The following is a 9,064-nucleotide window of genomic DNA, read 5'->3' on the forward strand; positions in this document are numbered from 1 at the left end:
TGGAATGGAATCATCCGAGCGGAATGGAATGAAATGGAATGGAATAGAATTGAATGGAATGGAATCCACCCGATTGAAATGGAATGGAATGGAATGGAATGGATCGGTACGGAATGGAATAGAATGGAATGGAATAGAATGGAATGGAATCAACTCGAGTGGAAAGGAATGGAATAGAAAAGAATGGAATGTAATAGAAAGGAATGGAAGGCAACGGAATGCAATGGCATGGAATGTAGTCAACCAGAGTGGAATGGAATGGAATGGAATGGAATGGAATGGAATCAACTGGAATGGAAGGAAGTGCAATGGAATGGAATGGAATGGAATGCAATGGAATGGAATGGAATCAACCCGAGTGGAATGCAATGGAAGGGAATTGAATGGAATGGAATGGAATGGAATCAACCGAAGTTGAATGGATTCGAATGGAGTGGAATGGAATGGAACAGCACGGAATGCAATGGAATCAACTAGAATGGAATGGAATGCAATGGAATGGAACGGAATCAACCTGAGTGGAATGGAATGGAATGGAATGAATGGAATGGAATTTATTGGAAACTAATGGAATGGAAAGGAAACAAACCGAGTGGAATGAAATGCAATGAATTTCAGTGGAATGGAATGGAATGGAATGGAATGGAATGCAATTCAACGTAATGGAAACAAACCGAGTGGAATGGAATGGAATGGAAAAGACTGGAATGTAATGGAATGGATTGGAATCAACCCGATTCCAACGCAACGGAAGTGAATTGAATGGAATGGAATGGAAGGGAATGGAATGGAATGGAAGGGAATGGAATGGAATTTAATGGAAAGGAATGGAATGAACTGGAATGCAATGGAATGGAATGGAATTGAATTGAATTGAACGGAATGGAATAGAATGGAATGGAATGGAATCAACCCGAGTGGAGTGCAATGGAAAGGAATGGAAATGAATGGAATGGAATGGAACGGAACGGAATGGAATGAACATGAGTGTGAGGGAATGGAATGGAACGGAATAGAATGGAAAGGAACGGGACAGAATGGAATGGAATGGAATGGAATGAACACGAGTGGAATGGAATGGAGTGGAATGGAATGGAATTGCATTGAATGGAATGGAATGCAGTGGAATGGAATGGGATGGAAAGGAATGGAAAGGAATCAACCTGAATGGAATGGAATAGAATGGAATGCAATGGAATGCAATGGAATGGAATGGAATTAACCCGTGTGGAATGGAAAGGTATGGAATGGAATGGAATGGAATAAAATGGATCGGAATGGAATGGAATCAACCCGAGTGAAATGGAATGGAAAGAAATGGAATGGAATCAACAGGAGTGCAATGGAATGGAATGGAATGGAATGGAATGGAATGGAACGGAATGGAATGGAATCAACCAGAGTGGAATGGAGTGGAATGGAATGCAATGGAATGGAAGGCATTGGAATCAACTGGAATGGAACGGAACGGAATGCAATGGAATAGAATGGAATCAATCTGGGTGGAAAGGAATGGAATGGAATGGAGTGGAATGGAATGGAAAGGAGTGTAATGGAATGGAATGGAATGGAATGAAATGAAATGGAATGGAATGGAACGGAATCAACCCGAATGGAATGGAATGGAATGGAATGGAAAGCAATGGAATGGAATCAACACGAGTGGAATGGAATGGAATGGAAAGGAATGGAATGGAATGGAATGGAATGTTATGGAATCCACCCGAGTGGAATGGTATGGAATGGAACCGAATGGAATGGAAAGGAATAAAATGGATTGGAATGGAATGGCATCAACTCGAGTGAAATGGAATGGAATGGAATGGAATGGAATGGAATGGAATGGAATGGATCAACCCGAGTGGAACGGAATGGAATGGAATGGAATGGAATGGAATGGAATCAACCCGAGTGGAATGGAAAGGAATAGAATGGAATGGAATGGAGTGGAATGCTATGGAATCAACTGGAATGGAATGCAATGGAATGGAATGGAATGGAATCAACCCGAGTGGAATGGAAAGGAATAGAATGGAATGGAATGGAGTGGAATGCTATGGAATCAACTGGAATGGAATGCAATGGAATGGAATGGAATGGAAAGAATGGAATAAACATGAGTGGAATGGAGAGGAATGGAATGGAATGGAAAAGAAATGAATGGAATGGAAACAACCCGAGTGTAATAGAATGAAAAGGAATGGAATGGAATGGAATGGAATGGAATGGAAAGCCATGGAATTCAAAGGAATGGAATTAACTCGAGTGGAATAGAATGGAATGGAATGGAATGGAATGGAATGGAATGGAATGGAATGGATTGGAATGGAAAGAAATTCAATGGAATGGAATCAACAAGAAAGGAATGGAATGGAATGGAATGGAGTGGAATGGTATGGAAAGGAATGGAATGGAAAGAAATCAACCCGAAGGGTATGGAATGGAATATGGAATGGAATGGAATGGAATGGAATGGAATGGAATGGAATGGAAACAACCCGAGTGGAATGCAATGGAATGAAATGGAATGGAATGGAATGGAATGGAATGGAATGGAATGGAACGGAACGGAACGGAACGGAATGGAACGGAATTGAATGGAATGGAATCAACCCAAGTGGAAAGGAACGGAATGGAATGGAATGGAATGGAATAGCATGCAATCAACTTTGGTGGAATGGTATGGAATGGAATGGAATGGAATGCAATGGAATGGAATGGAATGGAATAAAAGGGAATGGAATTTAATGGAATCAACCCGAGAGGAATGGAATGGAATGGAATGGAATGCAAAGGAATAGAATGGAAAGGAATCAAACCGAGTTGAATGGAATGGAATGGAATGGAATGGAATGGAATGGAATGGAATGGAAACAATGCAATGCAATGGTATGAACTGGAATGGAAAGAATTGGAATGGAAAGGAAAGGAATCACCCTGAGTGGAATGGAATGGAAAGGAATGGAATGGAATGGAAACTAATGGAACGGAATGGAAACAAACCGAGTGGAATGGAATGCAATGGAATGGAATGGAATGGAATGGAATGGAATGGAATGGAATACAACAAAATGGAAACAACCCGAGTGGAATGGCATGGAATGGAAAGGACTTGAATATAATGGAATGGATTGAAATCAACCCGATTAAAAACTAATGGAATGGAATGGAATGGAATGGAATGGAATGGAATGGAATGGAATGGAATCTACACGAGTGGAATGGAATGGAATGAAATTTAATGGAATGGAATGGACTGGAATGGAATCAACCCGAGTGGAATGGAATGGAATGGAAAGGAATGAATGGAATGGAAAGGAATGGAATGGAATTGAATGGAATGGAAAGGAACGGAACGGAATGGAATGGAATGGACCCTAATGGAATGGAATGGAATGGAATGGAATGGAATGGAATGGAATGGAATGGATTGGAATGGAATGGAACGGAATTAACCCGAGTGGAATGGAATGTAATGGAATGGAGTGGGATGGAACGGAATGGAATGGAATGGAATGGAATCAAACCGAGTGGAATGGAATGGAATGGAATGCAATGGAATGGAATGGTATGGAATCAACCCTAGTGGAATGGTATGGAATGGAATGGAACGGAACGGAATGGAATGGAATCAACCCGAAAGGAATGGAACGGAATGAAGTGGAATGGTGATGAATGGAATGGAATGGAAAGGAATCAACCTGAAGAGTATGGAATACAGTGTAATGGAATGGAGTGGAAAGGAATGGAATCAACCCGAGTGGAATGCAATGGAATGAAATGGAAAGGATTGGAACGGAACGGAATGGAACGGAACGGAATTGAAAGGAAAGGAATCAACCCGAGTGGAAAGGAATGGAATGGAATGGAATGGAATGGAATGGAATGGAATAACATGCAATCAACTTTGGTGGAATGGTATGGAATGGAATTGAATGGAATGGAATGGAATAAAAGGTCATGGAATGGAACGGAATCAACCCGAATGGAATGGAACGGAATGGAGTGGAATGGTATGGAATGGAATGGAATGGAAAGGAATCAACTAGAAGGGTATGGAATGGAATGGAATGGAATGCAACGGAATGGAATGGAATGGAATCAACACGAGTGGAGTGCAATGGAATGAAATGGAATGGAATGGAACGGAATGGAACGGAACGGAATTGAATGGAATGAAATCAAACCGAGTGGAAATGAATGGAATGGAATGCAATGGAATGGAATGGAATGGAATGGAATGGAATGGAATGGAATGGAAACATCCCGAGTGGAATGCAATGGAATGGAATTGAATGCAATGGAATGGAATGGAATGGAATAACATGCAATCAACATTGGTGGAATTGTATGGAAGGGAATGGAATGGAATGCAATGGAATGGAATGGAATGGAATAAAAGGGCATGGAATGGAACGGAATCAACGCGATTGGAATGGAACGGAATGGAGTGGAATGGTATGGAATTGAATGGAATGGAAAGGAATCACCCCGAAGGGTATGGAATGGAATGGAATGGAATGGAATGGAATGGAATGGAACGGAACGGAATTGAATGGAATGGAATCAACCCGAGTGGAAAGAATGGAATGGAATGGAATGGAATGGAAATGAATGGAATGGAATAACATGCAATCAAGTTTGAGGGAATGGTATGGAATTGAATGGAATGGAATGGAAAGGAATGGAATGGAATGGAATGGAATGCAATGGAATGGAATGAAATGAAATAGAATGGAATGGAAAGTAATGGAATGGAATGCAACGGAATGAATCCGAATGGAATGGAATGGAATGGAATGGAAAGGAATCAACACGAGTGGAATGGAATGGAATGGAGTGGAGTGGAATGGAATGGAATGCAATGGACTGGAATGGAATGGAATGGAATAAACCCGAATGGAATGGAATAGAATGGAATGGAATGGAATGGAACTGAATGGAATAAACCCGAATGGAATGGTACGGAATGGAATGGAAAGGAATGGAATGGAATGGAAACTAATGGAACGGAATGGAAACAACCCGTGTGGAATGGAATGCAATGGAATGGAATGGAATGGAATGGAATGGAATAGAATGGAATGCAATGGAATGGAATGTAATGGAATGGAATGAAGTGGAATGGAATGGAAAGGAATCAACACGAGTTTAGTGGAATGGAATGGAATTTCATGGAATGGAATGGCATGGAATCAACCGTAGTGGAATGATATGGAATGGAAAGGAATGGAACGGAATGGAATGGAATAAAGTGGAATGGAATGGAATGGAATCAACTCCAGTGAAACGGAATGGAATGAAATGGAAGGGAATTTAATGGAATCAACCGGAGTGGAGTGGAATGGAATGGAGTGGAATGGAATGGAATGGAATGGAATGGAATGGAATGGAATAAAACCAAGTGAAAGGAATGGAATGGAATGGAATGGAATGGAATAGAATTGAATGGAATGCAATAACATGCAATCAATTTAGGTTTAATGGTATGGAATGGAATGGAAGGGGATGGAATGGAATAAAAGGGCCTGGAATGGAACGGAATCAACCCGAATGGAATGGAATGGAATGCAGTGGAATTGTACGGAATGGAATCGAATGGAATGGAATCAACCCGAAGGGTATGGAATGGAATGGAATGCAATGGAATCAACCTGAGTGGAATACAATGGAATGAAATGGAATGGAATGGAATGGAACGGAATGGGACGGAACGGAACGGAATTGAATGGAATGGAATCAACCGAAATGGAAAGGAATGGAATTGAATTTAAAGGAATGGAATGGAATGGAATAGCATGCACTCAACTTTGATGGAATGGTATGGAATGGAATGGAATGGAATGGAATGGAATGGAATGGAATGGAAACAATGCAATGCAATGGTATCAACTGGAATGGAATGCATTGGAATGGAATGGAATGGAATCTCCCTGAGTGGAAAGGAATGGAATGGAATGTAATGGAATGGAATGGAATGGAAAGGAATGGAATGGAATGGAAACTAATGGAACGGAATGGAAACAACCCGTGTGGAATGGAATGCAAAGGAATGCAATGGAATGGAATGGAATGGAATGGAATGGAATTGAATTGAATGGAATGGAATACAACAAAATGGAAAGAACTCGAGTGGAATGGCATGGAATGGAAAGGACTGGAATATAATGGAATGGATTGAAATCAACCCGATTAAAAACTAATGGAATGGAATGGAATGGAATGGAATGGAATGGAATCTAACCGAGTGGAATGGAATGGAATGGAATTTAATGAAATGGAATGGAATAGAATGGTATGGAATCAACCCGAGTGGAATGGTATGTAATGTAATGTAATGGAATGGAATGGAATGGAATAAAATGGAATGGAATGGAATGGCAACAAACCGAATGGAATGGTACGGAATGGAATGGAATGGAATAACCGGAGATGAATGGAATGGAAAGGAGTGGAATGGAATGGAATAGAATGGAATGGAATGGAATGGAATAGAATGAAATGGAAAGGAATGAAATGGAAACAACCCGAGTGGAAAGGAATGGAACGCAATGGAATGGAATGGAATCAACCAGAGTGGAATGGAATGGAATGGAATGGAAAGGAATGGAATGGAATGGAACCGAATATAATGGAATGGAACGGAATCATCCCGAGTGGAATGGACAGGTATGGAATGCAGTGGAATGGAATGGAACAAAACGGAATGAAATTCAATGGAATAGATTGAATGCGAGTGGAATTGAATGGAATGCAATGGATTGGAATGGAATGGAATGGATTTTAGTGGAATGGAATGGAATCAACACGAATTGAATGGAACGGAATGGAATGGAATGGAAAGGAAAGAAATGGAATCAACGCGAGTGGAAAGGAATTGAATGGAATGTATTGGAGTGGAATGGAATGGAATCAACACGAATTGAATGGAACGGAATGGAATGGAATGGAATGGAATGGAATGGAATGGAAAGGAACGAAATGGAATCAACCCGAGTGGAATGGAATGGAACGGAATGGAAGGGAATGGAATCAACCCAAGTGCATTGCAATTGAATGGAAAGCAACGGAAACAACCCGAGAGGAATGGAATGGAAAGGAATTAAATGGAATGGAAAGGAATGGAATGGAATCTACCCGAAAGGAACGGAATGGAATGGAATGGAATTGAATGGAATGGAACAACATGCAATCAAGTTTGGTGGAATGATATGGAATGGAATAGAATGGAATGGAATGGAATGGAATGGACTAAAAGGGCATACAATGGAACGGAATCAACCCTAATGGAATGGAACAGATTGGATTGGAATGGTATGGAATGGAATCGAATGGAAAGGAATGAACACGAAGGTTATGGAATGGAATGGAATGGAATGGAATGGAATGGAATGGAATCAACCCGAGTGGAATGCAATGGAATGAAAAGGAATGGAATGAAATGGAGCGGAAAGGGACGGATCAGAACGGAATTGAATTGAATAGAATCAACCCAACTGGAAAGGAATGGAATTGAATGGAATGTAATGGAATGGGATGGAATAGCATGCACTCAACTTTGGTGGAATGGTATGGAATGGAATGGAATGGAATGGAATTGAATGGAATGGAATGGAAATGAATCAAACCGAGTGGAAAGGAATGTAATGGAATGCAATGGAAACAATGCAATGCAATGCTATCAACTGGAATGGAATGCATTGGAATTAAATGGAATGGAATCACCCTGAGTGGAAAGGAATGGAATGGAATGGAATGGAATGGAATTGAATGGAATGGAACAACATGCAATCAAGTTTGGTGGAATGATATGGAATGGAATAGAATGGAATGGAATGGAACGGAATGGAACGGAACGGAACAGAATGGAATGGAACGGAATGGAATGGAATCTACCCGAGGGGAATGGAATGGAAAGGATTTTAATGGAATGGAATGGAATAGAAAGGTATGGAATCAGCCATAGTGGAATGGTATAGAATGGAATGTAATGGAACAGAATGGAATGGAGTGGAATAAAATGGAATGGAATTCAATGGAAACAACCCGAGTGGAATGCAATGGAATGGAATGGAATAACCGGAGAGGAATGGAATGGAATGGAGTGGAATGGAATGGAATAGAAAGGAATGGAATGGAATGGAATAGAATGAGATGGAAAGGATTGGAATGGAAACACTGCGAGTGGAATGGAATGGAATGGAATGGAATGGAATGGAATGGAATCAACCCCAGTGGAATGGAATGGAATGGAATGGAACGGAACATAATGGAATGGAATGGAATCATCCAGAGTGGAATGGAATGGTATGGAATGCAATGGAATGGAATGGAATACAACGGAATGAAATGCAATGGAATAGATTGAATGCGAGTGGAATTGAATGGAATGGATTGGATTGGAATGGAATGGAATTGATTGGAGTGGAATGGAATGGAATCAACACGAATAGATTGGAAAGGAATGGAATGGAATGGAATGGAAAGGAACGGAATGGAATCAACCCGAGTGGAGTGGAACGGAATGGAATGGAATGCACCCAACTGGAATGAAATGCAATGAAATGCAATGGAATGCAGTGGAATCAACTCGAGTGGAATGGAATGGAATGGAATGGAACCGAATCGAATCCAATGGAATCAACTGGAATGGAATGGAATGGAATGGAATGGAATGGAATGGAATGGAATGAATCCGGGTGGAATGGAATGGAATGTAATGGAGTGGAATGGATTGGATTGGAGTGGAGTGGAATGGAATGGAATGGAATGGAATGGAATGGAATGGAATCAACCCGAATGGAATGGAGAGGAATGGAATGGAAAGGAATTGAATGGAATGGAATGGAACAGAATGGAATGGAATCAACACGAATGGGATGGAAGGGAAGGGAATGGAATGGAATGGAATGGAATGCTATGGAATCAAACGGAGTGTAATGTAAATGAATGGAATGCAATGGAATGGAATGCTACCGACTGGAATCAACCCAAGTGCATTGGAATGGAATGGAATGAAATGGAATCAACAGGAGAGGAATGGAATGGAAAGGAATGGAATGGA

The 9,064-nt window shown here is 40.8% G+C and overlaps 7 annotated features.

Annotated features, from left to right (window-relative positions):
- Positions 603 to 1,229: an enhancer, noted in NCBI's record as "OCT4-NANOG-H3K27ac-H3K4me1 hESC enhancer chr4:49651532-49652158 (GRCh37/hg19 assembly coordinates)". NCBI's record gives its function as "activates a minimal SCP1, AML or CMV promoter by ChIP-STARR-seq in primed H9 embryonic stem cells {active_cell/tissue: H9 hESC(primed)}" and the evidence as "EXISTENCE:reporter gene assay evidence [ECO:0000049][PMID:30033119]".
- Positions 1,230 to 1,856: an enhancer, noted in NCBI's record as "OCT4-NANOG-H3K27ac-H3K4me1 hESC enhancer chr4:49652159-49652785 (GRCh37/hg19 assembly coordinates)". NCBI's record gives its function as "activates a minimal SCP1, AML or CMV promoter by ChIP-STARR-seq in primed H9 embryonic stem cells {active_cell/tissue: H9 hESC(primed)}" and the evidence as "EXISTENCE:reporter gene assay evidence [ECO:0000049][PMID:30033119]".
- Positions 1,857 to 2,483: an enhancer, noted in NCBI's record as "OCT4-NANOG-H3K27ac-H3K4me1 hESC enhancer chr4:49652786-49653412 (GRCh37/hg19 assembly coordinates)". NCBI's record gives its function as "activates a minimal SCP1, AML or CMV promoter by ChIP-STARR-seq in naive and primed H9 embryonic stem cells {active_cell/tissue: H9 hESC(naive and primed)}" and the evidence as "EXISTENCE:reporter gene assay evidence [ECO:0000049][PMID:30033119]".
- Positions 2,484 to 3,109: an enhancer, noted in NCBI's record as "OCT4-NANOG-H3K27ac-H3K4me1 hESC enhancer chr4:49653413-49654038 (GRCh37/hg19 assembly coordinates)". NCBI's record gives its function as "activates a minimal SCP1, AML or CMV promoter by ChIP-STARR-seq in naive and primed H9 embryonic stem cells {active_cell/tissue: H9 hESC(naive and primed)}" and the evidence as "EXISTENCE:reporter gene assay evidence [ECO:0000049][PMID:30033119]".
- Positions 3,110 to 3,737: an enhancer, noted in NCBI's record as "OCT4-NANOG-H3K27ac-H3K4me1 hESC enhancer chr4:49654039-49654666 (GRCh37/hg19 assembly coordinates)". NCBI's record gives its function as "activates a minimal SCP1, AML or CMV promoter by ChIP-STARR-seq in naive and primed H9 embryonic stem cells {active_cell/tissue: H9 hESC(naive and primed)}" and the evidence as "EXISTENCE:reporter gene assay evidence [ECO:0000049][PMID:30033119]".
- Positions 6,584 to 7,505: an enhancer, noted in NCBI's record as "OCT4-NANOG-H3K27ac-H3K4me1 hESC enhancer chr4:49657513-49658434 (GRCh37/hg19 assembly coordinates)". NCBI's record gives its function as "activates a minimal SCP1, AML or CMV promoter by ChIP-STARR-seq in naive H9 embryonic stem cells {active_cell/tissue: H9 hESC(naive)}" and the evidence as "EXISTENCE:reporter gene assay evidence [ECO:0000049][PMID:30033119]".
- Positions 7,506 to 8,428: an enhancer, noted in NCBI's record as "OCT4-NANOG-H3K27ac-H3K4me1 hESC enhancer chr4:49658435-49659357 (GRCh37/hg19 assembly coordinates)". NCBI's record gives its function as "activates a minimal SCP1, AML or CMV promoter by ChIP-STARR-seq in naive H9 embryonic stem cells {active_cell/tissue: H9 hESC(naive)}" and the evidence as "EXISTENCE:reporter gene assay evidence [ECO:0000049][PMID:30033119]".

Source organism: Homo sapiens, chromosome 4 (assembly GCF_000001405.40).
Source record: "Homo sapiens chromosome 4, GRCh38.p14 Primary Assembly".
NCBI classification, from domain to species: Eukaryota; Metazoa; Chordata; class Mammalia; order Primates; family Hominidae; genus Homo; species Homo sapiens.